At 51.4% G+C, this 24,528-nt stretch overlaps 2 protein-coding genes and 1 long non-coding RNA gene across 8 annotated transcripts, besides 6 other annotated features; 1 reads left to right on the top strand and 2 right to left on the bottom strand.

Moving 5' to 3' along the window:
- C2CD4D (C2 calcium dependent domain containing 4D) lies at window positions 5,648–8,387 on the bottom strand. Of its 4 annotated transcripts, none has more exons than NM_001136003.2 (2): window positions 8,033–8,387; window positions 5,648–7,050 (listed from the first exon to the last, which is right to left on the bottom strand). In NM_001136003.2, exon 2 carries the CDS (start codon window positions 6,817–6,819, stop codon window positions 5,758–5,760), a length of 1,062 nt encoding a protein of 353 aa, NP_001129475.1. In that variant the 5' UTR covers window positions 6,820–7,050; window positions 8,033–8,387; the 3' UTR covers window positions 5,648–5,757. The 4 variants fall into 4 exon arrangements, with proteins under 4 accessions (NP_001129475.1, NP_001381522.1, NP_001381520.1 ...); NM_001394593.1 differs by lacking the exon at window positions 8,033–8,387 and adding an exon at window positions 7,895–7,999; NM_001394591.1 differs by lacking the exon at window positions 8,033–8,387 and adding an exon at window positions 7,494–7,650.
- C2CD4D-AS1 (C2CD4D and THEM5 antisense RNA 1) lies at window positions 6,107–19,365 on the top strand. Of its 2 annotated transcripts, NR_024237.2 has the most exons (5): window positions 6,107–6,567; window positions 6,856–6,935; window positions 9,571–9,861; window positions 11,875–12,072; window positions 18,063–19,365. It is a non-coding gene; the product is annotated as a C2CD4D and THEM5 antisense RNA 1 (long non-coding RNA). The 2 variants fall into 2 exon arrangements; NR_152846.1 differs by lacking the exon at window positions 6,856–6,935.
- Window positions 6,204–6,303: a silencer, noted in NCBI's record as "silent region_1327". NCBI's record gives its function as "represses an Ori minimal core promoter by ATAC-STARR-seq in GM12878 lymphoblastoid cells {active_cell/tissue: GM12878}" and the evidence as "EXISTENCE:reporter gene assay evidence [ECO:0000049][PMID:35858748]".
- Window positions 6,314–6,433: a silencer, noted in NCBI's record as "silent region_1328". NCBI's record gives its function as "represses an Ori minimal core promoter by ATAC-STARR-seq in GM12878 lymphoblastoid cells {active_cell/tissue: GM12878}" and the evidence as "EXISTENCE:reporter gene assay evidence [ECO:0000049][PMID:35858748]".
- Window positions 6,504–6,593: a silencer, noted in NCBI's record as "silent region_1329". NCBI's record gives its function as "represses an Ori minimal core promoter by ATAC-STARR-seq in GM12878 lymphoblastoid cells {active_cell/tissue: GM12878}" and the evidence as "EXISTENCE:reporter gene assay evidence [ECO:0000049][PMID:35858748]".
- Window positions 7,397–7,446: an enhancer, noted in NCBI's record as "active region_1725". NCBI's record gives its function as "activates an Ori minimal core promoter by ATAC-STARR-seq in GM12878 lymphoblastoid cells {active_cell/tissue: GM12878}" and the evidence as "EXISTENCE:reporter gene assay evidence [ECO:0000049][PMID:35858748]".
- Window positions 7,987–8,056: an enhancer, noted in NCBI's record as "active region_1726". NCBI's record gives its function as "activates an Ori minimal core promoter by ATAC-STARR-seq in GM12878 lymphoblastoid cells {active_cell/tissue: GM12878}" and the evidence as "EXISTENCE:reporter gene assay evidence [ECO:0000049][PMID:35858748]".
- On the bottom strand, window positions 14,931–21,542 carry THEM5 (thioesterase superfamily member 5). 2 transcript variants are annotated; one of them, NM_182578.4, is made up of 6 exons: window positions 21,273–21,542; window positions 20,088–20,289; window positions 18,883–19,021; window positions 16,012–16,122; window positions 15,568–15,692; window positions 14,931–15,244 (listed from the first exon to the last, which is right to left on the bottom strand). In NM_182578.4, the coding sequence occupies exons 1-6, from the start codon at window positions 21,393–21,395 to the stop codon at window positions 15,201–15,203; spliced, it is 744 nt and encodes a 247-aa protein (NP_872384.2). In that variant the 5' UTR covers window positions 21,396–21,542; the 3' UTR covers window positions 14,931–15,200. The 2 variants fall into 2 exon arrangements, with proteins under 2 accessions (NP_872384.2, XP_011507723.1); XM_011509421.2 differs by lacking the exon at window positions 15,568–15,692.
- Window positions 15,754–16,521: an enhancer, noted in NCBI's record as "H3K4me1 hESC enhancer chr1:151820400-151821167 (GRCh37/hg19 assembly coordinates)". NCBI's record gives its function as "activates a minimal SCP1, AML or CMV promoter by ChIP-STARR-seq in primed H9 embryonic stem cells {active_cell/tissue: H9 hESC(primed)}" and the evidence as "EXISTENCE:reporter gene assay evidence [ECO:0000049][PMID:30033119]".
- Window positions 21,543–24,528: the final 2,986 nt, after the last annotated feature.

The raw sequence follows: 24,528 nt of genomic DNA on the forward strand, positions 1-24,528 counted from the left end.
GACTCACACAAGAACAATAAATGGGTGAGCTATGATTTGGACCCAAGTCTTTGTGACTTTAGAATCCTGTGATTTCTACCTAAGACAGGTGACAGGCATAGGGGAGATGGAGAGGGCAGGTTTGGGGGACTGTGTCTCTTCTCTAGGATGCAGTCAGACTCCTCCCAGTGACTGTTCAGTTCCCTGAGGCCTCTGCCTGCTCGGCCCCTGCCCCTAACCCTTGCTGCTCTTGCCAGGACTCCCTGACCCCCTGATGCTTCTACGTGCTCCTCATCTGTTGGGGCAAGGGGCAGGCCTGGAGGAGTGCCTGGAGGCAGAGAAGCCATGGTGGGGAAGAGGAGAGGAGAGATGCTGCACTGGACTCATTGGGAGAAGGAGAGGCTCCCAGACCTAGTGGCCCACACTGAGGCCTGCAGTGAAGGCTCTGAAGGGGGCCAAGAGGACGAGGCTTCTGGGGATCCTGGTGCTGCTTTTCTCCTGCATGGCCTGGGCCCAGAGTTTGATTAGCTGGGCCTGACTCTCCTGGTTACCCAACAAGCAACTGGCCAGGGGCCAGGCTGCAGCAAGAGGCTCCCTGGCACCTCCTCCTGCTCTCGTTCCCAGCTGGTAAACAGCAGAGCAGGAGTCAGCCATGCCACAGCCTCGTGACTCGCCCACTCCCCCCCACCTGGTGCACGTGGCACCTGGCATGGAGAGGGCAAGCAGCTGTCCCTTCCCTCTTCTGCCGTCTCGTCTCGCCATCCTCCACTCCTGCCCAACCCTGGAGCTTCACACTCTGCTACCATCAGCACCTCTGTTCTTAGGTAGCTCCCAGAGTCTCCCCATGGCTGCAGATTGAGAGATAAAGGTAGAAGTGGAGAAGGACTTTTCAACTCCTAGGGTCATTGACAGTGGATGAGTAGTGAGAAAGAGGAGGGGAAGTTTTGGGGACCTTCTGCACTGAGTCTAAGGGTATGTGCCTATGCCTCTGAGGCTCTGATTATCCCCCGTGTTCTTTTGGTAAATGTGGGCCCACGCATCCATGTATGCATCTCTGCACAGAACAGGATGTTGGTCTGTTTGGGGGCTCTGCACCTTGGGCAGGTTTGGAGTGAGAGGTAAAGTGCTTTGCAGCTCCCTTCCCCCCCGCCCCCCCAGCACCCTCCAGCTGACAGGAGGAGCCAGCAACATGCCGGGCGTGGGAGTGCAGGGGAGATGCCGTTCTGCTCCCCTCCTCCCCAGAACTCCTCAGTTATCCCCCATCTCTCTGTCTCTCTTTGCTGGCTCCTGCCTGTCTGTGGCTCTTCTCCAGCTGTCCCCTCTCTATCTTTTCTCCTTTTTAGGCCTCTCTTCCTCTTGACTCTGGGTCTCCCAGGGGCCCTTCGTGACTACCTCTTCTACAACCCACCAATTGCAGGCACAGAGTGGAGGTCACGTAGAATGCTTGCGGATGGACACAGAGCATCCCCAGACACTGCAGGCACAGCTGACTCCCCAGTTGTGCCACTTTGTGCTACTATGTAGGGTGGGGAGGAAGTGACTGGAGATTTAGAAGACAGTATCCTGACCTCTAGGCCTAGGAGTGTCACATGCTTCCTAGGCATTCTCTACCTCTCCCCTGCCCTAAGCATGGATAGTTTGAGTTTTTTTTCTCCCCAGGGCAAGAAGATCCCTTGGTTATCCTTATGGGAAGTTCCCCCTCTTGTCTAAACTTTCTCCCTCTTGCTGCAATCACAGCCCCTTATCTGGAAGAATCGTCCTTTCAAAGCAGGGCGGTGGTTATTTCCTCTTCAAATACAATCTTATATAAGGAAGGGGCTGATAGGGATCAGAGAATCATTTCATCCCCACGTGCCCAGTCCCCTTATTGGGGAAATCTCCATGCTGGGGGCAAACACTCTGGAAGGGATGGGAGGTGGTGGTGGTGGCTTGGAACTGGGGAGCAGTCCCCAGCATCTCTTTCCTTCCTTCCCCAACCCTAAACCACAGAAACCACTTAAAGCTCAGCACAAATCTGCCCTTTCAGGGAGGGCCTGGGGGTCAAGGTGGAAAATATGTGGAGCCTGGGTAGTCTGCGGTGGCACACACTTCCCCAGCCCCATCCTTGGAGGGCCCTCTCCTTGGGATGCCTGATCCAGTGATTAGGGACCACTTTTCTTTGGGTTCTAGGGGGTTCCATGCCTGGGGACGCCTCAACCCACTGGAGTGACTCAGGGATGGGTTGTGCCTCAACCGTTGAAAAAGGACAGCCCAGGCTCTGTAACCTTCGGTAGCCTCCAGATCTCACAGTCCCCACCCCTCCCCCTTCTTGTCACAAAGGCCACTGTGGGTGGAGGAACAGTGGGAGTTTGACCCTAGCTCCTGGCCTTGAACTTTCCACAGTGACCCTGCTTGTACCTCTCCTCTACCAATTAACATTTATAGTCACACAGGCTTGGAGGTGGCAAGAAGGGTTTAAATGCTGGGGCAGAATCACTTATAAGAATGTGGTCTGCCATTTACTAGCTGTAGGCCCTGAGGGAAATCTCAGCCCTCAGCTACCACATCAGTAAAAATGGGGCAATAATACCTGTCCTAACTAGTGGATTTTTTTGTTTTGTTTTGTTTTTGAGACAAGGTCTCACTTTGTCACCCAGGCTGGAGTGCAGTGGCGTGATCTCAGCTTACTGCAGGCTTGACCTCCTGGGTTCAAGAGGTCCTCCTGCTTCAGCCCCCCAAGTAGTTGGGACTACAAGTGCATGCCACCACATGCAACTAATTTTTGCATTTTTTGTAGAGATGGGGTTTCACCATGTTGCCCAGGCTGGTCTCAAACTCCTGAGCTCAGGTAATCTGCCCGCCTCAGCCTCCCACATTTATCCACTTATCAAAGTGTTAGGATTACAGTCATGAGCCACCACACCTGGCCTCTGACTAGTGTTTATAGAAGTGCTTTGGGGCCAGAGCAATCTGCACACTGGAGGGTTTCTTAGGACCTCCTCACTCCCATGTTTCTGTACTTTAGCTACCCAGGATGTTCCTCCAGCAATGCTAGGGCCCCCATCACAGAGCCTCAGGGCTGTGAATGCTGAGTGAACTGCTCCTGGGAGGAGTGGCCTTGGATTTCCTCACAGCTTCCCCTAAGCAGTTGGGGTGGCAGTGGGGGTGTCTGGGTGGAGTCAGGTCAGAACCTTTCCCTCCAGCCAGGGCTGTTCCCCAGGCAAGCTTACTTAACCTATCTATCTGATCCATTTCTTTCTTTGTAAAGTGGGAATAATAATACCTACTCTCCTGAGTGGTTGTGACGCGGTGGCTTACGCCTGTAATCCCAGCACTTTGGGAGGCCGAGGTGGGTGGATCATGAGACCGAGACCGAGATCATGAGACCAAATCAGGAGATCGAGACCATCCTGGCTAACACGGTGAAACCCCGTCTCTACTAAAAATACAAAAAACCAGCGGGTGTGGTGGCACGCGCCTGTAGTGGCAGCTACTCGGGAGGCTGAGGCAGGAGAATCACTTGAACCTGGGAGGTGGAGATTGCAGTGAGACGAGATCGCACCACCGCACTCCAGCCTGGGCAACAGAGTGAGACTCCGTCCCCCCACCCCAAAAAAGAGGAATACTAATATCTACTCTACTGAGTGGTTGTGATGATCAACTGAGATAACACAGATAAAGTTCAGGACCTGGTCCAAAGTACTATGGTTAAAAAAAAAAAGTTTCCTCTCCTCCCTCCCTCTTTCTGTCCCTATAATCTTCCCTTCTCTTTATCTGACCCCTCTTTTCTATTCCCTTTCTTGCTTTATTTTTCTCTGTAACATATCACCAAGTAGCATTCTTTACATTTTAATGGCTTATTTTATCACTTTTCTGATCCCCATGTCTGTTTAATCACTGCTGTATCCAATGCCTGCCACCTGATGGACCTTCCCGAAGTATTTGTTGAAGGAATGCATGAATGAAGGTTCTACGGCCTCTAACTTTCTTTCCAGATACTTTCAAATGGGCATCAAATCCAGTTTCTCACCAAGGGTTGTTATGGGAGAATTTGGGGGCTGAAATAGAAATCCAGTACTAGGGGTAGACCTAAATCTATAGGTAGACTTCCCAGAATTCAAACATGGGATTTTAAACTGGCAGGGTACGAAACCTTTGCAGAGCTACCATCTTAGGGAAGGAGGCCCCTTTTAGAGTGACTTGATTGGGAGGCAGCAGCTGGCAGTGGGGGGTATTATCTTGAAGTGATTAAGAGTCCACACTCTGGAGCCAGACTCCCTGAATTCTTCCCTTTACTAGCTATGTGAGTCCTAGTTCTTCCCTTTACTAGCTATGCGAGGCCCAAGATCCCATTGGATAATAATAGTATTTACACCCTAATAGAAGGTGCTGGGAGGAATAAATGGCTTGACTAATTGTTGGAACAGTTCCTCATGTGGTTATAATCCATGTGTAGTAGTTAGCACTTAGGATTGTTTGGTCAATGCCACCACCTGGTGGACACCTGGAGCAAGAGTTCTCTGGCCTAGGGCTGGGTGGTGCGGACCCAATCAGGGAAGGGAGAAGGAACTGGAGAGCTGTCTGAATGAAGCCGTGTGTGTGTGTGTGTGTGTGTGTGTGTGTGTGTGTGTGTCTCTGTGTGTGTGTCTCTGTGTGTGTGTGTGTGTGTGTGTGTGTGTGTGTGTGTTGGAATTTAACGTGTCCAGGTGCTGAGGCTTTTGAGGTTTTGTCAGATCCCGCAAGCTTAGCCCTGGTGCAGGCCACAGCTGGCACCATGAAAAATGAGAAAGGGCCCAAGGGAGAGGGAGAAAGAAGTTGGGTTAGCCTAGTGCCTACCTCACTTCCTCCCTCCCTCCTCCAAGCCTGGCCTGAGTCCAGAGGAACCGGCTCCTGGGAAGGTGGAGGGAGAGAGAAGAAGGTCACTGCTGACGTCAGGGACATTCAGGTAGAGGTAAACACAATGTGACCTACAATTATCCACCTCCCCCCACCCCCACCTCCTTCTGGCTGGAGGAGGCTCTTCTGGCATTCCTGAGAACAGTTCTCACACTTTGGTAGTACCCCACCTCCCCCCTTTCAATCCCTGGGACATTATATCTCATTCATTTGGTACCCAAGCACCTCTCTGGTTCTTGGCTCCAGACTTGCCCCACCCCTCAAGGGACGCACAGGTGTGGAAGAGGCAAGAGGGAAGAAGGAAGACTAAAGGGCACTCTGTGTTCATCTGACATCCCCTGACTCACTCTCAAGAGCCAGAAATTTCATCTGTCTTCAGGACAGATGTGGGTTTTAGAGGGGCACAGGAAGGGAGTGTTAATTTCCTCTGTGCAGCCTCAAGTGGAAGGTGGCTTGTGTTGGTTTCTGTCAGAGTGACTCAGTGATTGCAGGGCTCCCTGATTGTTCGGGGGCCTTGTTGGCCGGGGACCTTAGGACCTACTTGGCCCAGATCTACTGAAGGAGCATCTCATAGGGATGGAGCCCAGGACCCTGCATATTTAAAAAGCTCTTCCAGGATTTCTGATGTCTGGTTATTCTGATGCTCCTTCAAGCTTGAGAACCACTGCTTAAGGTCTGCTCTACTCAGACCGTCTGAATGAGCATCTTCCCCCCGCGTATGGCCGGGATAGAGGGAAGATCGGTAGGCTCTATGCCCGAGCGTGTAAGGTGCCAGTAAGGGGAAATATCTGGCTAAGGACAAGGGGACATTTTATTAGCAAAAATAAATACAAGCCGGGCAGGGTGGAAAGAATGTGGACTGCAGACACAGTGGAGACGTCCTGAGGAAGCCAGGGGCTCAGGCTACAGGCTGAGATGGGTGGGCGCCAGGGATGACCCGGGACCTAGTCCCCCACCCAGCGGGGGCAGCAGCGCAATGAGGGGCGTCTCGCACTCCCCCAGCAGCACATCCCTGCGAAGTCCCGCGCCCCTGTCTAGCACCTTGGCTCTCAGGCTGCGGGCGGCCAGGTCCGGGGGGCCGAGCCCGTCGAAAAAGAAATCCTCGTTGAAGATGGGGTTGGCGCTGCACTTGACCACGCGGCTCTGCTGCTCCCGCGGCCGGACGCGGGGCCGCAGCCTCAGCACCACACAGCAGCCGCCGCCGCCGCTCCCGGGGCGGGACCGCGGCCGGGGCAGGCCCTCGGCGCTCACTAGGCGCAGCCGCAGCCGCCCGGGCCCGGCCTGATATTCGGTGGAGAGCCGCAGCTGCCCGCCGCGGGGCCCCAGGCGCAGCACGCTCTCGCGCGTGGGCCGCAGCTGGCAGCACAGGAAGTCCAGGTGGAAGAGCGGCGGCGTGGGCGGCCCGGCGCGGCGCGGCGAGTGCGGGCTGGTATCGGCCGAGCTCGCTTTTTCTGGGGACAGAGAGTGAGGCCTGGACACCCGGCGCCGGCCCAGGCCTGGCCGCGGGGAGCCGAAGGGCGACGAGTCCGGCGACGAGGCCGTGTCGCTGTCGGGGGCCCGGCAGAGGCGCAGGTCCGGGGCGGAGACGTGCAGCCGGGACTGCGCCGCGGGGAGTCCCCCGGCCGGGGCAGGTGGCGGCCCGTGGAACAGGGATTCCCGCCGGCGCGTGTGCGGGCTCTCGGGCAGGAAGGCCCAGCCTTCGCGGCCCGCCAGGTGAGGCAGCGAGCAGGTCGCGGGGAGGCCGCGCCCCGCCACGTGCCGCCGGGCCGCGGGCACTGCGCCGCCCGGGTCCGGGAGCCGAGGCGGGATGAAGAACTGCGGGATGCGATCCGGGGTGAGGACGTTGGGGCAGGCGCTTGTGGGCGGGCCCGGGGCGCGACGCTTGGAGAACAGGCCGGAAGGCGCCCAACGGGCCGCAGGCTCCGCGGCCCCCACCTTATAGCCAGCTTTTTCCAAGAGCCACATGCGGTGGGTGGGGTAATGGAATTCCGAATTCCGCAGGGCCGAGAGGGTCCAAATCCCGTCTCAGATGGGAGTGCTCGGCGGAGCGGGGCTGGGCGAGGAGCGCAGAGGAGTCAGAGGTGAGTGATGCTGGCGTACACCGGGCGGTCAGCCACCGCGCCCCGGTCTCCGGACCCACTGGGAGCGCGGACCCCTATTTGAGCAGAAAAAGAAAGGGCGGCGCAGTCTGGGGGGCTGGGGAGAAATGGAGGGAGCAAAGGGCCAGTCAGTCACATTTTCATATACGGGCCTCCGTCACCAAGTACACAGATTCTCCCACTGGTACTAAAGATGCCCCATTCACCTTACAGTTAGAGGGCCCATATAGTATCCACCAGAACCCTAGGGTACTATTAGGACAAATAGGATAATAACCGCATTATAGCAAAAGGACTCAGATCCCAACCCCCCTGGGACACTGCGCCCTAGGCGGGCTCACGCCCTCCTCCCCCGCCCATTTCGAAGACTTGGGTTTTCCTCTGGGATCCAGTCTGGCGCCCCTTGGGACTTCCTCCCTTTGCCAGGCTGCCCCGGCTCAAGCTTCTCTGGCCTGAGCCATCCCTCAGTCCTAGCCCCACCTGCCTCCTCTGGCTCCTCCTTCCCCTCCTCGAGTCGCTCCAAGCCAGAAGAGGACTCACTTCTGCTCCTGGCAGCCAGGGGACACACCTGGCTGCTGACCTCAGGACACCCTGGGCTGGTCCAAGGAGACGCACCTCCCGGGGACACAGAATCCCACCCCCAGTAGCCCTGACCGTCCAGCTCCCGCGCCTCCCAGCCCTACCGCATCCCGCGTCTGCAGGGCGGGGCCGGGCCGTTGGGTCGCCCCTCCTACTCTCCACTCCTTTTCTCCCTCGGAAACCACCGAGCACAAAGGCAGCATTGATTCTCCGCCACCCTCAGAGCGGTCTCCGGAAGGCTCCGCCACCACGCGCTCGCCTCACCCCTGCGCGGAGCCACCAAGAGCACCGTGTTCCGACCCTCTGCCCTGGGATCCGAGCTAGCGACCCTCTCCGTCGCGCGCCCGGAGTGCTGGCCTCACCTGTGGGTCGCTTTTGGGTTCTGGCCTCAGGCCCTGAAACTTTCAGAGCCAGAGGGGAGCAGCTTTCTCTGCAGCTTGCTCCCCCAGCGCAGTCCTTATGGGAGGAGCTGGCAGGGGCCTCCGCTGCCTACGTCCTACCTCTTTTCCTGGATAAACACAGCTCTGTCTGCGCGGCCATCAGCCCGGTCTTCTGACTTCCTCCAGCTGAAGCCAGGTTTCTAGCAACAATCCATTCCTGTGCCCAGGCCTCCTCTGCTGAAGCTGGGCTGCTTAGGGGTGGGGGAGGGCTACAGAGAAGAGGGAGACGGCCATCAGTGGACAGTGGCCACTTCTTTGGTGCTCGGTTCCAACCCCAGCCCTCACAGGTGAAGTCCATCTTCTGTAAAACCCTCCTGGTTGAAATCCTGCCTTGGCCCCCAGTGCCCTGTTCTGGAGCCATTCCAATAGCTCCAAGGCAGAGTGACTTGCAGTGATCAGTTGTCTGCATTATTCTGGCTAATAGTTCTCTGAATTATTGTGGCTAAAGGAAAAGTGGCCAGACTCAGGATTTCTGGACTTAGAAACACTGAAGATAAAGCTGGATCCAACAGTCAGGATCAAGCTGGCCTATGTCCTCCATCCCTGACAGATCTTAGGAAGCACAGGCCACCACAGACAAGATGAGACCATCAGTTGCAGTCTAGACACACCTACCATCCTTCAGTCTCTGAAAGGAAGCAAGGCTAGTTCCTCCCCTAGGACCACTCTTCTCCTTCATGCTTCAGCTCTGGAGGCCCTCACTGACACCCTCCCATCTAAATTAGGGGCACCTGCTGTACACTTTCATAGTACCTCATACTTTTCCTTTATAGCATTGATTACAGTTTTTCCCCCTCTATTTATGTGGTTATTTGTTTAATGTCCACCTCTCTTACTAGACTAAGAATCTTAAAAACAGTGCTTGGTGCAAAGCAGGTACTCAGTCAGGATGTATTTGATGAGTGAAGTAGTAAGCAAAATTATACTTGAATCAATTTGTTCATCCATTCATTGAAGTGCCTAAAATGCACCAGGCACTGTGCTAGGGGGATACATAGAATAGAGAGCTGTCTAAGGGGAGAGACAGACAATAAACATGCAAACAACAATAAGACAAATCCTGAAATGCAGGAAAAAAGATGAAACAAACCAGTGAATGCAATGATTATTGTGTCATCTAATACTTGAAGATTTTAACAAAGCAAGTGTTTCTTCTGTGGCGATCCCTGGTGGCCTCCAGACCTTCCATTCATGTGGCTTCTGACTCAGCTCAGCCCTGGTGTTGTTTCTGGGGAGGGTCCATGTTCTTGGAGTGCTGCAGTATTCATTGCTTTGTCATCAGTCAGATGGGCTGGGAATCTGGATTCTGCGACTGACTAGCTGTGTGACCTCTAGCATGTAACTTAATCTCTTTGGGGCTTACCTTTTCCATCTGGAAAACAGAAAGAATAAAACTCTCAGAGTTGGTATGAGGATTAAAGATAACACGTGGGCATCATTTAGGCTGACATCCGCTAAAAGTGTGAGAAAACAGAAAACCCAACTCAGTCTGACTTAACAATATGGACACTTGACTTCCATAATAAGAAGTCCAGAAGTAGGTAGGACCCAGGGAACACAACTGTTTTATTTTTCTTCCTCTTCTTTTTTCTCTTTAGGCTAGTCAAGTGAAGCAATGGGAGTGGAGATGGAACAAAGAAATCTGCAATTGGTTGTGATCAATTAGTTGTAAACACTACTGCACTTGGACCAACCTCTTCCTTTTCCTGACTGCTTAGGAAGGATGGAATGTATTTCCTTCCTTCTGGGAGTGTTTGAATGAAGATTAGACTCTCCTTGACCATGAATGAAGAGCAACCAGTTTTTTAGTATACAGTGATTTAGACTCTGGGTCTAGAGTGTAGATATCATGGGCACTGTGAAAGCACAGAAGGAGAAAAGGTTTTTATGTGAGTATATGGGAGAGGAAATAGTTTATTGTCATAAGCTTTTTGGCTATGGCCTCCATTACATCTCTAGCTTTTGGAAGGCACTAAATTGAGGCCATTCAAATCCATGTCCACCTATCCTTTGCCCGTCACGAGACTGATGGCTTAGGAAGCATGTGGTCTAGGTACTAGAGAGGGAGCCTGACCCACCTACCTCACCGCTGCTGCTGAATTTGTGCACAACTCTCTGACCTGGTTCCATGTCACAAAGGGTTTCATTCTCTCTGATTCCCTGAATCCCCAGCTCTAGCCGCAGATCCTGGAACCCTAGCATATGCCTGAAGCTGAATATTTTACTTGCCAGAGTAAGAGTTTTTACATAGACTCTGTCATCTTCTACTGGCCCTCCTCTTAAACTGAGGCAGCGGCTGCTAGCTACTCACCAAACCTATTTTACTTTCTTTTTCTTTTTTTTTTTTTTTTTTTGAGACAGAGTCTTGCTCTGTCGCCCAGACTGGAGTGCAGTGGTATGATCTCGGCTCACTGCAACCTCCGCCTCTCAGGTTCAAGCGATTCTCCCACCGTAGCCTCCTGAGTCGATGGGATTACAGGTGTGTGCCACCACACCCAGCTAATTTTTGTATTTTTTGGTAGAGATGGAGGTTTCACTATGTTGGCCAGGCTAGTCTCTAACTCCTGACCTCAAATGATCCACCCACCTCAGCCTCCCAAAGTGCTGGGATTACAGGCATAAGCCACCGTGCCTGGCCCCCCATTTTACTTTCTTCTTTAACATATAGTTAGAATGAAAACATGTTGAAGGGATGATGGCATTAGAAAATTACCACTGGCCACTATCACAGTAATAATTGCTTTAGGCAAGAATGATCGATAAAAGCTAAAATTAATGGGCAAAAGTATGATGAGAAACAGGATATTTATACAATCGCAAAGTGCCTCCCAATAAGATACTTATTAAAAAGGTAAAAATGGTAATTTTCAGTGGAGAAATATGGCAGACACCATAGTAACCAACTGATCAAAGGGAACATTGGCATTAATGGGACAAATCAGCATCACGTTTCTCTTGTCATGAAGCACTGAGAAGGCCACAGCATTGCTTCTGAAATATTGCAACAAAAATGAATAACTTGAATCTAATGATGAGGAAACATTGGAGAAATCCAAACCTTGGAACACGCTACAAAACAACTAACTCGTACTCTGAGAAACATATCAGTGGACTGGATTCCAAACAGTGGCTCATGCCTGTAATTTTAACACTTTGGGAGGCCAAGGTAGGCAAATCACTTGAGGCCAGCAGTTTGAGGCCAGCCTAGGCAACATAGGGAGACCCCATCTATACAAAAAATTAAATAAAATTTATCTGAGCTTGGTGGCATGTGCCTGTAGTCCCATTTACTTGGGAGGCTGAAGCAGGAGGCTCCCTTGAGCCCAGAAATTTGAGGCTGCAGTGATCTATGATCACGTCATTACACTCCACCCTGGGCAGCAGAGCAAGGCCCTGTCTCTAAAAAAGGAAATTAAAAAAAAAAAAAAAAACATGTCAAGGTAATGAAAGACAAAGAAAGAGGAACTGCTTCAAATTAAAGGGGATTAAAGAAACGTGACAGCTAAATGTGACATATGATTCTGAATTGGATCCTGAACCACAGAAAGGATATTAGTGGGCAACTGGCAAAATCTGAATAAAGTTTATAGTTTATAAAAAAAAAACAGACAAAAAACATGTAGTTAGACCATATTTTCTTTCTTTTTTTTTTTTTTTTGAGATGGAGTCTCGCTCTGTCACCCAGGGTGGAGTGCAGTGGCGCCATCTCGGCTCACTGCAACCTCCGCTTCCCGGGTTCAAGTGATTCTCCTGCCTCAGCCTCACAAGTAGCTGGGACTACAGGCGAGCACCACCATGCCCTGTTAATTTTTGTATTTTTAAAAATTTTTAGTAGAGATGGGGTTTCACCATATTGGCCAGGCTGGGGTTAGACCATATTTTCTAACCAGCTTTCTTTGCAGTTTGGTGGGGCTTTGTGTCTGAATTCTGGCCAATGGAACCACGTGGAGGCCTGGCCCAGAACATCTCCCTGTGGATTCTCTCATCTGGCAACTGGATGCCTACACGAAGGGTGATTTTGGAGTCATGTGTTGGAGATCACAAAGCTTTTGTCAGCCAGGTTCCTGAATGACTGCTAGACACCATGGGCTGAACTTTATGTGAGTGAGAAATACATTCTATTTGAAGATATGGGTTAAGCTACAGAGATTTAAAGGCTTATCTGTTTCAACATTTGGCTTTACCATACCTAATAACAAAGTCCTTCATGATACGGCCCGGGAAGCTCTAATTCTTTGGTAAACCTTCCCTAATCTTGACCTCTTCCTGAACATCCCCTCCACCTACTAGCCTCAGTAGAATTCTGGCTGTCTCAAGACAGGACACTTCTTACAGCTGTCCCTGTGGAAGCTGGTGCCACCCTTCTCCTCCCCAGGCTCAGAGGAGCTACAGACTTCTTCTGGATAGCCATTGCCTCCTCCATTGTTCTTCTCCCTCACAGCAAATCTTTTCTTCTTAGAAATGTGTACCAGCCATGTTGCTGTCTTCCCTCCCCTTCCACTGTTCTCACCTGACTCATCCACCATTGCCCCTGGGTTTTGCCAGCTGGTTCCCACCTTCCTTTCTCCTAAGATTGGTGCCACTCCAGATACCTGTTTTCTACCAGCAGCTGGGCGCTCAGGATGTCTTGGTCACACATGTACCTGGTACCTGTTTTCCTGATCCCTACAGCGGTTTTTCCAAACCATCCCCCTTCCTCCAGACCTCTTTCCCCACTAATGGCCTTGCCTTCCATTTCATTGAGAAAGTTGAAGCACTCTGGGTTGAATCCCCTCAACTTCCTGCCATGCTCTGCACTCTACCTCCTTCCTTTCAGTCTCAGAGTCATGCTGACGCTCTCCCATGGCTTCCAAGACAGCTCTAAGAGAGCTGTTCTGTTGGATGACACCTCTGTCCCTCTTTCTTCTAAAAGTTTCAGCCTCTTTCCACTAGCAATTAAAATACAGTCAAATATCTTTCCTTGAATAACAACAACATTCCCAGAAAGAAGCATCTACATTCATTTCCTCATTCCCTGTTCATATTTTCATCCACTGTAATCTGGATTTTTCTCCCACCTCCTAAGATTGCTCTGGCAAAGGAAACCACATTTTCTTCATGACCAAATCCAAAGGTCTCTTTTTAATTTTATTATGCACTTATTTATTTTAGTTTCTTACCTTTTTTGTTTTTGTAGAGATGAGTGTCTCACTTTGTTGCCCAGGCTGGTCTCAAACTCCTGGCCTCAAGCAGTCCTCCCACCTCGGCCTCCCAAAGTGTTGGGATTACAGGCATGAGCCACCACTCCTGGCTCAAAAGCTTCTTTTTAATTCGCATCTTCCTTGCCTTCTCTTCAGCATTTGATACTGCTGACCTCTTCCTCTTAAGGATGGTCACTCCTGTTCTGTTCTCAGCCTCTTTAGTGGATCCTTGGTTTTCTATCCCAACTTTGAGCCTTAGTGTGACATAAGGTTCTGGTTCTATTTTTGACCTCTTTCCTTCTCCTTCCCTCCCTCCCCTTTCCCCCTCCCTCCTCACCTCTGTCTTTCCCCTTGCCTCCTTCTCACTTCCACTCTGTGTAAGGCATTCCCAGGGGTTTCATGTCACATTTTTTTTTCTTTTGGGACGGAGTTTTGCTCTTGTTGCCCAGGCTGGAGTGCAATGGTGTGATCTCGGCTCACTGCAACCTCCGCCTCTCGGGTTCAAGTGATTCTCCTGCCTCAGCCTCCTGAGTAGCTGGGATTACAGGCATGCGCCACCACACCCGGCTAATTTTTTGTGTTTTTAGTAGAGATAGGGTTTCTCCATGTTGGTCAGGCTGGTCTCGAACTCCCGACCAGCCTCTCGACTCTCGAATCACTCAAGTGATCAGCCCGCATCGGCCTCCCAAAGTGCTGGGATTACAGGCATGAGCCACCGTGTCCGGCCTCATGTCACATTTTATATTGGCTCACGATTTGAGTCAGTAGCTTATCTCTCCAAGCTCCATATCACAATATCCACGTTCCTGCTGGCACTTGCCACATGGTACAAGTTCCATGGGCACTTCAAGCTCGATGCATGTAAAACTGAGCTCATTGTTTACCCCCACCTCTTTCTGTATTTCCAGTGATAACCACCTGGAAACTCATAAGCCAGAAACTTGGAGCTCGTCTTCACAGATCCACATTGTATAACTAGTGGCACAGTCCTGCACTTCCTGTATTTGTAACATTTTCTCATATCTCTCAGCTTCGCAGCTCTGACCCCTGCAGGCCCTTACTGTCTCTAGTGTAAAGCCTGTGGGGATCTCCTAACTAGTACTCCTGCCTTCAGTCTTGCTGACGCCTTACTGCCACTGAGTCATCTTTCTAAATAACAAAGCTCTGTCACTCCCCAGCCCAAGCCCTTTGGAGGCTCCCTGTTGCCTGCAAGACAAAGTTCCAGCTCTCCATCAGGGATTATGAAGCCTTCCTGTGGTTTGCTCCTGCCCACCTTCTCTTTCCCTAAACGCCTGCCCTCCTCAACACCTTGCTCTTCTCCAAAGTCCCTGTACACTTTCACACCTCTGCACCTTTGTCTTACTTCTTACTTCCCTTCTGCCTGGGATATCCTCCTCTCCCCTGCCTGCCTAATGAACACCACTTAACTTTTGAGACAGTTCAGGAAGAGCTTCTTCTAGAAGATGTTTTCTGATTGCTTTTGTAGAGTAAAATTAGCCCTTCCTCCCGCTGAGATGACACTGCACTCATGATGGAAGCCAGGGTGGGTGTGGGAGGAGCGTGATAGGGCACTCTGACTTGGCACCTGGCTCCCGCATTGTGCATCTTGAGACCGGGGCCCTGTCTTTCACTTCTGGGTGCCTGGTGCCTCACACAGTGCCTGACACCTGGCGGGTACTCAGTAAATCTTTTCAGTCGGTGCTGAATGGGAAGGTGGGTATGTGAGATGCCCTGGAAGGATTTTGATTTCCAACCACAGAAAGGCCCTGGGCCGAGAATGGGACTGTGAGACTTTATTTACTCAGAGAAAAGGGTCCTTTCCCTCGCCTCACCAATTGCTGCTTGAGGACCCCTCCCTGCTCTTTGATGGGTCCCAGGCAGGCAGGGGAGGCAGGAGGCAGGAGGCAGGCAGGGGAGGCAGGAGGCAGGAGGCAGGCAGGGGAGGCAGGAGGCAGGCAGGGGAGGCAGGAGGCAGGAGGCAGGCAGGGGAGGCAGGAGGCAGGAGGCAGGCAGGGGAGGCAGTGGCTCTCCTGCAGGCACAGTGACTGTTACTGGGGAGACTCTTCTTCCAACTGCAGCTGAAGGAAAACACCTGCAAGAGAAGGGTGAGTTGAGCTGCAAGAGCTGCACTGAGATGGCTGGAGCTTGATGGACACTCTGAGCATTTGGCTGCAAATTACCCATTACCTGGGTCCTGTCCTTTCGTTACAGGTTGGATAACTCATATATAGAAAAAAAAATCCTAGTTCTGCTCTCCCTTGCTTCATCTGTGTCCCTAGTAGGTGCCCTATCCCACCCCTAAAGAAGCTGGACCGCAGCTTGGGATGAATCATTGGCATCTTTTCTTCCTCCTGTTTGTTCTGGGGGTGGGTGGTGGTGGGACGGGGCCTGGGGCTGGGCTGGGGGCTCCTTTACCTGAGGACTTGGCATAAACTGTCTGCTGGTCTCTGCTGTGGGCGATGCAGGACATGTAAAGCTTCTGGTCCTCAATCTTGTCCAGTTCTACGTCCATTACAACCAGAGAGTCCACGGGGATCAAGCTGGGAGACGAGGCAGCTTAGCCCATCTCTCATGTGAACCCGGTTCCCCATCCCTTCACTCTCTGTGTCCTCTTCCCTCTCTTCATCCCTCCCGGCCTCGAGGACTCAGAAGTGGCCCTGGGCTCAGGGCCTTTTTGTCAGCTCCCAAAGTTGGACAGCAGAGGCTGTGTCCTGGCCAGGGACTAGAGGAATTGCTTGGGAGTGGGCTGGGGAAGGAGAGTGGCAGGCAGGGCTCCTACACCCCAGCTGCCGAGGATGGCCACTTCCAGGGATGAAAAGGTCTGTGACTTTGGCCAATGCCCCAGGGGCCCATACTTACTTTTTGAACCTGATGTTGAGACTTAGTGTGAACAGCCCCTCTCCAGCCAGGAAGGCAGTTTTAGAAAAGGTCTCGTCCATCATGGCTGCCAGGGACCCGCCGTGAGCAAACCTGGGGGTGGGGTAAGGTGAGGAGCAAGGCCTGGGCTGGGGCTGCTGGGCAGACCCCCTCAATGGGCCTTCCCTCCCTCCTGTGGTGATCCTACCTTTCCCTTTCCCTAGACCCTTCCAAACACAGACGTTCAGCCTCAGGGCAGCCAAATAGGAAAGAAGGAAACAGCTGCATCCCATCTGATCAAACCCGTCAAAATCAACTGAGCTTTTCTGTTTTGCTTCAGCATGCGTTTGCAGCCAATGATACAACATTTTATTTCATCAGGGAAATTGTTTTTTTCTGATAAAGTTAATAGAAAACATTTTTCTGGTTCATTACCTAATTGCTGGCAATAATTGCCATAATTTGGAAGGATGGGCATATACAGGAAATGAAAAAGTCCCTGAACTTTTTGACTCAGTCTTTGAGGCACAACCCTGGGCTGTTTCTCACCTTACCAGTCACTACAGCCAGTGCGGGGCCCACATCTCAAGATAAGTAAATGTGAAACATAACTTATGACCTATCAAGGGCTGGCATGACACACTTCTGAGCAGCGTTGCCACAGAAAGCAGAGCGCCTGCTTCAGCAGGCTCAATGCTGAAATTGAGCTGAAATGCTCAAATGCCGCAGACATTTGCTTTATTTAGAATGCATAGAATGGCCAGTCGCAGTGGCTCACGCCTGTAATCCCAGCACTTTGGGAGGCTGAGGTGGGCAGATCACTTGATGTCAGGAGTTCGAGACCAGCTTGGCCAGTATGGTGAAACTCCGTCTCTACTAAAAAATATAAAAATTAGACGGGTGTGGTGGCAAGCGCCTGTAACTCAGCTACTCGAGAGGCTGAGACATGAGAATCGATTGAACCCGGTGGGTGGAGGTTGCAGTGAGCTGAGATTGTGCCACTGCATTCCAGCCTGGGCAACAGATCAAGACTGTCTCAAAATTAAAAAAAAAAAAAAAAGCGTAAAATGTTCATTCTTGCTTTTGCAAGCTTTATGTCAGCTACTTCATGGTTGGCTAATTTGGGAAAATAGGCACCCATTTTAGAATTCAAATAACACCAAGCAGATTTGAGTTCCTGATTTTCAAAAGCACAGCCCATTCTCCACAGAGCCAGATCAGCTGTCCACACTGTACTGCCATGGGTTACCCTCCTGCTGCTGTGACCAGTGGCTTTTCCAGACCCTTCCCTCCCTGCTTCTTTAGTCTCTATCCACCCAGTTGGACTCCTTGTCCCACAGCTCACTACATGTTTGATCTTGAGCAAATTGCTAAACCTTTCTGAGCCTTAGTTTTTCCACCATGAATTTCACAATTCTGATCTCAGCAGATTAAATAAACAAATGTTTGCAAACATAATTTACACACTTCTTAGGCACTTCCCTGTCTGCCTCCCAAATTGCTTGAAAGAGAGTGAAAAGAGTTGGTGTCAAAGAACTCGAAACCAACTCTCTCCTCCTTGTCCTCACTGGCCAGCCTGGGGACCCATTGGCCAGTATGTGGATCTACAGAGTAGCTCTTGGCCAACGAGTAACTCCTCCTTCCCACTCCCCATGGTCTAGGGGCCTGGTGGATACTAATCTCTTCTCTAGACCCCCAACCCCTCAATCCACTGACTGGCCTTAGTGTTGGATGGTCCTCCTCTGCCTCTTTGGCCTCACTTCCATCAGCCCCTAAATAAAAGTCAGCCATGCTTCAGAAAGGAGGGAGTCCATGGCCTGGGCAGGGCTCTGAGCAATTCACTAGTATCTGCACAGCCTAGTGTGTGGAGCAGTGTCCCTGTGGAGGACTCCTTTGGGATGGCCAAGGTGACTGAGGGCTGCAGTTGGCATCCACAGCCTCTGGAGGCCCTGACATCTATTTAGCACTCTGGATTCTATTTAACCCCAGTTAAGCCCCTCTCAGGCTTCAGGACCCTAAAGCCACTCCTGCCCTCTCTTGTCTCTCCCTTGCAGGAGCTCCAGCACCACCTCCAGCCTTCAGTGACTGTCTGGAGCAGGCATCCGGATGGAAGAGAAGGGGGACAACCATGAACTTGGTGACCCACGGTCAGCCTGATTTCCCTTGTGGACACATTTATGCCCAGTGTGCATTCCTCCTGAGGTCTGTTCCAAGTCTGGAGGCAGCAGAGTAGAGTGGAGAGAACAGTGGACTTGGAATCTCACCTCCCAGATTAGAGTCCTGGATCTGACTTTGATTGCTGGTGCTGCCTCGGGCAAGTTACTTTAGCTGTGTGCATCTCCATTTCCCCATGGATAGAACATGGGTTTTGGGTAGAAGTGTCTGATAGCTGTACTGTGCTTTACGGTTCATGAGCACGCACACATAGGCCCATAATATCATATCTCTGGTCACCCTGGCAGGTAGATATTATTGCCCCAGGTTTCAGGTAAGAAGACTAAAGACCAGGGGTCAATTGCTTGCTCAGAGTCCCACAGCCAGCAGCAGCCAGGCAGGACACCAAGTCAGAGTCTAGATTCCGGATCTTGCCCTCTTCCAAGTGTACCACATTCTTCTCAAAGTGGCCTCTCAGGTCTTTTGTCCAGAAAATTTTGAGACTTTGATGAGAAGCCCATATCTGCACACTGGGGATTAGGCCAGATAACCCTGTGTGTCCTTCCAGGCCTGGTATTGTGAGGCTGAAGCCTAGTGCCCCACACTCCCTTCCTCACCCCTTAGAGAAAGATAGAGACTCCAGGGCCAGCCTGGTGGGTGCTGAACCTGCCCTGCTGAGCCAAGCCCAGGAGGCAGCCAAGGTCCTACCAGTGACCTTACCCTGGGGGCCCCTCCAGGTAGGAGCCTGGTTGGAAAAGACAGACCGACTTCTTCTGGGTTGGCTGGAAAAAGATGACATACTCAAAGCCTTGTCCTTCCACTTGGATGCACCTGGTGAAGATGCGACAGTCACCTTTGTCTGGGGAGAGATAGGCAGTGTTGCAGCCGGAGAAGGGAGGGTATGGTCAGGATGCAGCACCATTTGGTTGAGTCTTGCCTCTGGTACAAGATTAAGGAGAGAAAACCAGAGGACACCAGGTCCACCCCCAGGGAGCCTTCCCTCTGGGAGCAGAGGCACAGTTGCTGTCCTCACAGAGCCTTTCTGTCTAGGGCAGAAACATGCAGGAAGTGCCCTGGCTGAGAATGGAGATAGGATCAGGGCCAGGGCAAGACTTTAAGAGACCATAAGCATTGAAAATTGAAAATGTAATTACTCATGTAACTCACATATAATTCAAAAGAATAATAGTAAACAGTAAAATAAGAGCAGAAAAGTCCATCAAAGTTCTGATTTTTTTTTTCCAAGACAGCTACCACTACTACATCCTTTTTTGGAAGTATCAAATTCTTTGAAAAAAAATTATGTTGGTATTCCTGCTTTGTTTGTGCCATAAACCCAAGGGTAGTCTGTCCCCTGTACCACTCCTTCATCACTAGGCAGGAAGACAACATATATGAGTGAGAGAGACAGGGAGATACACATGCGTGCACACACGAGTGCACACACACACACAAGAAGGTGGAAGCTCTATCATTAGGATCCATTAGGATCATTAGGTGTTTCAGGAGTGCTGCTCCAGACCCCGCACAGCAGGGATGATGTGCAGGGCCTCAGTGGAAGGGGTGTGGGGTCCAAGGGCTTTCATGGGGTTGGGGCGGAAGGCTTGGGATGAGGCTTGATAGTTAGGGAGGGGCAGTCAGTGAGAAGTCGGGGCAGGAGCTGGGCTGGCTGTCCTCCAGTGGGGACATGCTTGGCTGGGAGCGAAGGTGGGCCCACCAGGGTGTGCTGCTTCAGATGGGAGGAGGGGAGCTGGAGACCTGAGAGGACACCCGCCGCCTGTTGCCTGGGGCTGCAGCATCAGGGGTGGAGTTGGACAGCAGGAAGAACTCGCTGAGAACTGGAAGGCGGTCTGTGAAGTTGCTTCTCAGTCTTAGAACACAGGGAAGGGCGGCTGGGGTGTGTGTACTCATGGTCCTGTCCTTACCTGAGGAAACTGCCAGTCCAGATGGGAGCTTGAGTCCCCGGATGTGGTCTCTGTTGGACTTGAAGGAGGGCAGCTTGATCCAGCCGCTAGACTTAGTCTTCTCCAGAAATTCTTGGTACAGGCTCAGCATGTCCGAACACCAGCTGGCATTGGGAAGAGCATAATCCTTCAAGTCTGTCTTCTCTGGCAAGAATCTTGAGAACTGGGCAGGAAAAATCAGAATGACTAGACAGCATCCTGGAGGGGGGCTGCTGCCTGGGCTCGGGACCTCTAAACAGCTGTTCCTGGGTGCTGGGGCTTCTCAATCCCTTCTGCCAGAGTATCGATCCAAGGGAAAGGGCCCATATTCCTTGCAGGGGGGCTGCGGACCCCTATGGGTGACGGGGCATAAGGATGCTAAAGAGCAAGGGAAGGGCGGGCAGGGAGTGGGGCCAGAGATGATGGGCATGCTGCTCGATGTGGTGCCTTACCCTTGTTCTGCTTAAAACATGTGAGCAGTTCTTTAAAGTTGACAACTGCTCATATTAGCCTCACTGTACAGATGGGGAAACTGAGGGAATACGGCCAAGGTTGCCAAGCATGTGACTGTGAGAGCTGGTGGTCGCACTAGATGCTGTCTCCTCTGCAGGGCAGGGTCACAGTTGTTGAGGACCATTCTAGCAACCCCCACCTCAGGGGCTACTCCAGCTCTGCCCACTGCTGTGGGCCTGCCTGGGCAGGGTGGCTCCTTTGAAACACATTTGGGCCCCCACAGAGGTGTGGTGCCATGGCTGGGGCACAGACTATGTGCCCATCTGTGTGACGTAAGGAAGTCCTCTGTAGCGTCACCTGCTCATACACCAGTCACAACTGTAGACAGCATGTGAGCTGCTTGCCAATGCCACAGATGGGGTCCTCTGTCTGGGGATACCCCAGCTTTGCTGCAGTAGTCTGAGTCCCACAGGAGGAAAGTCATTTGTTGGTGGCCACACAAGACACAGAGCCAGATGCAGGTCTCCTGGTAGTTTTAGTTTTGAATGGGGGCAACTTGGTATCCCAGAGCACTTTCTCTTTGCCAAATCAAATAGCTCCTCCGAACACTGCCCACCTGCCCTGGCCATGGGCTGGGAAGAGGAGATTTGGGGTGCTCCTTAAGCCCTAGGCTCCTGGGAAAACACTGCCCATCTGGCTGAGCTGGGAACTCACCATGGAGTCTGTGGAGGATCCAAATGCTGAGGCAGGGTTGAGTCTGGGCAGGATACGGGGGGCCTCAAGAAGGCCTCTGTGGTGGCCAAGTCTTGCTGCCACCTGGAAGCATCTCCTTATCATGGCCAAGTGCAAGGATCCAGCCCTGCTTGGATGGAGGGTCTTGGCTGACTCCCAAGGAGTGCTTTCAGCTGCACTTGGGGCCGCTTCTCTCCCTTCTGTTGCAGGCTTTCTTTCAGAGAGCTAGGCGAGGCTGGGCTGGTGTGCTGCAACACCCACAGATGCTCGGCGCCTTTAGCTGGTCTAGGAGCCCCACCCAGTGCTTGGGGAGGGACAGATGCTGCTTGGGCATGAAAAGGCAGCAGGACTGGCTTGAGTTGCAAAAGGAGTAAACAAGTACATAAACAAATAGTATGGGGTATATAGAGCCTTGGAGAGCTGCCTGGGGGTTCTGAGGGAGAATCCAAGAATATTTCCAGAAGGATAAGGGAAGCCTGTCCCTTGATTGGAGGGTGCTGGTGGAGTGTTCTTGGTATGTGCTCTGCAGTGTATACCGGACTCTGAAAACTCTGGTATGATTTTGTGACTCAGAAAACCAACTCACAGGCCGGGTGCGGTGGCTCACGCCTGTAATCCCAGCACTTTGGGAGGCCGAGGCGGCGGATTACGAGGTTAGGAGATCGAGACCATCCTGGCTAACACGGTGAAACCCCGTCTCTACTAAAAAAAATACAAAAAATTAGCCGGGCGTGGTGGCGGGTGCCGGTAGTCCCAGCTACGCAGGGGGCTGAGGCAGGAGAATGGCGTGAACCTGGGAGGTGGAGCTTGCAGTGAGCTGAGATCTAGCCACCGCACTCCAGCCTGGGCGACTGAGCGAGACTCCGTCTCAAAAAAATAAAAATAAAAAAATAAAAAAAAAGAAAACCAACTCACAGCCTTAGACACCTCTTTTTTTTTTTTTTTTTTTTTTTTGGTGAGACGGAGTTTCAATCTTGTCGCCCAGGCTGGTGTGCAATGGCGTGATCTCGGCTCACTGCAACCTCCGCCTCCTGGGTTCAAGTGATTCTCCTGCCTCAGCCTCCTGAGTAGCTGGGATTACAGACACACACCACCACACCCAGCTAAATTTTGTATATTTTTTTTAGTAGAGATGGGGTTTTGCCATGTTAGCCAGGCTGGTCTTGAACTCCTGACCTCAGGTGACCTCCCAAAGTGCTGGGATTACAGGCGTGAGCCACCGCACCCGGCCAACACCTCTTCTTATATCCCGGACAAGGGTTAGCACAGGAGAGTTTCACCTGCTGGTCTCTGGCTGGGGATAGGAGTTGGAGGTGGGGGAGGGCTTGACAGGGAGGGCAGAAAATAATTTGGGAGGAAACAGCTTGGCAGGGATACTCTCATGTTTTGGGAACCCCGTGCCCAGGGAGTGGCTCATGTCAGCAGGCAGTGCTGGGAGTGAGGTGGGCGCGGCAGTGAGGCTTTGTTGAGTGGGAAGGGACACTCAGCCAACATCTGCAAGGCAGTGGGATTTGGTGGTGGTGTGTCTTCTATTGAATTTAAACTGCCAATTTTCAATTAAAAGTCTCAGTTTTAAATTGACTAAAATAAAAGCATGTTCTAAAGATCAGTCCTCGCGCAGTGGCTCAAGGCTGTAATCTCAGCATTTTGGGAGGCCGAGTGAGACCTTGTCTTAAAAAAAAAAAAATCAGAACTGTGCAAAGGTGGAATCATAACAGTGATGATGACGATAATAATAGTTGTGATGATTATGACATTTTGGCAGGTTCCAAAAGATGAAACTGATTTAATGCGGAAATTTAAAAGATTTGGTTCACCCTCTGTATTTGGTTGCCCTAGAAGAAGACTAGAATATAAATATTTCCCCTCACCTCCTGCAAAGGTTTGAATTAAACTTCCTCAAGGACTGGGGGAACCATTTTTTTTTGTTGTTGTTATTTTGTCAGAGTCTCACTCTTATTGCCCAGGAGTGCAGTGGCACCATCTCGGCTCACTGCAACCTCTGCCTCCCAGGCTCAAGCAATTCTCCTGCCTCAGCCTCCCAAGTAGCTGGGATTACAGGCGCTTGCTACTACGCCCGGCTAGTTTTTATATTTTTAGTAGAGACGGGGTTTCATCATGTTGGCCAGGCTGGTCTCAAACTCCTGGCCTTGGCTGATCTGCCTGCCTCAGCGTCCCAAAGTGCTGGGATTACAGGCATGAGGCACCACGCCCAGCTGGAAGTTTTTTTGGTTGATTCAGCCTCTGGGTCTAAGCAAAGATATTTGAGTTGGTTGCCATCCCCAGATAAGTGAGAATATCTGGCAGCACTCATTTTCAGCCCTGGGCCGCAGCCGTTGCTGTGAGGCAGAAATTAAAAAAAGATAGTAAGTACTACATTCATTCACTCCAAGAAAAGTAACAGACAAGGCTATAAGAAGGTCATAGTGACCTAGTCTGAGAAGTAAAAGCCAAGGCCCAGAATGTGGCAAGGCAAAGGTTAAAAAGAAAGGAAGAGCAAGTTTTTCTCTGCCTAGCAAGCTCACTTCAAAGACAATTATAAGATAATGCTCTTCGAGAAGTCGAAACCAAAGGAATAGGCTCCAGACATCCCCCGTCTGGAGCAAGGGTGAAGGAAAAAAAAAAAAGGACAAATGTCTGTCTGTATTTAGCCAGTTCTTGTTTTTTCTTTCCACGCAGCTACAAGGCCACCAGCTATGCAAAGCCACAAGTTATGCCAAGTCATCAGTTATGCTATAGATTATGTGACCTGTCATTATATGATTAACTGCCTGTTTTGCTTCTGTAAGCCTGCTTATAAAAATCCTGCTCAGTCTTTGTTCAATGCTCAGCTTTTTGGATGTGAATCCACTGAGCCAATGCCTACCTTAAAATAAACATCGTCCTGTTTTTCCATATCTGTCTCTCTGGTCCTGAGTTTACCACAATAGCTGTAGCTGGTACCCTGTGCCTGTGGCTTGCCCAGGCGTCCCCTGGCACTTGGCATCCCTTCATTCCCTGGGTCCATCCTTGATCTGGAAGGATGGACTTGAGAAGACAGGATAGAAAAGAAAAATCCTAGGAAGGATAGGTGAACTGGAGAGAAGTCAGAGGAAAGGTGAGTGGGGAGCAAGAGGGGATCCTCAGGCGGCCCTGACAGCTGGAAGCTGGTTCCAGCAAGGTGGCCCCAGGAGGAAAGAGCTGTCCTCCTAAGAAGAGTCAGTAGGGCCAGGCGCGGTGGCTCACGCCTATAATCCCA

This window comes from Homo sapiens, chromosome 1, assembly GCF_000001405.40.
Source record: "Homo sapiens chromosome 1, GRCh38.p14 Primary Assembly".
NCBI classification, from domain to species: Eukaryota; Metazoa; Chordata; class Mammalia; order Primates; family Hominidae; genus Homo; species Homo sapiens.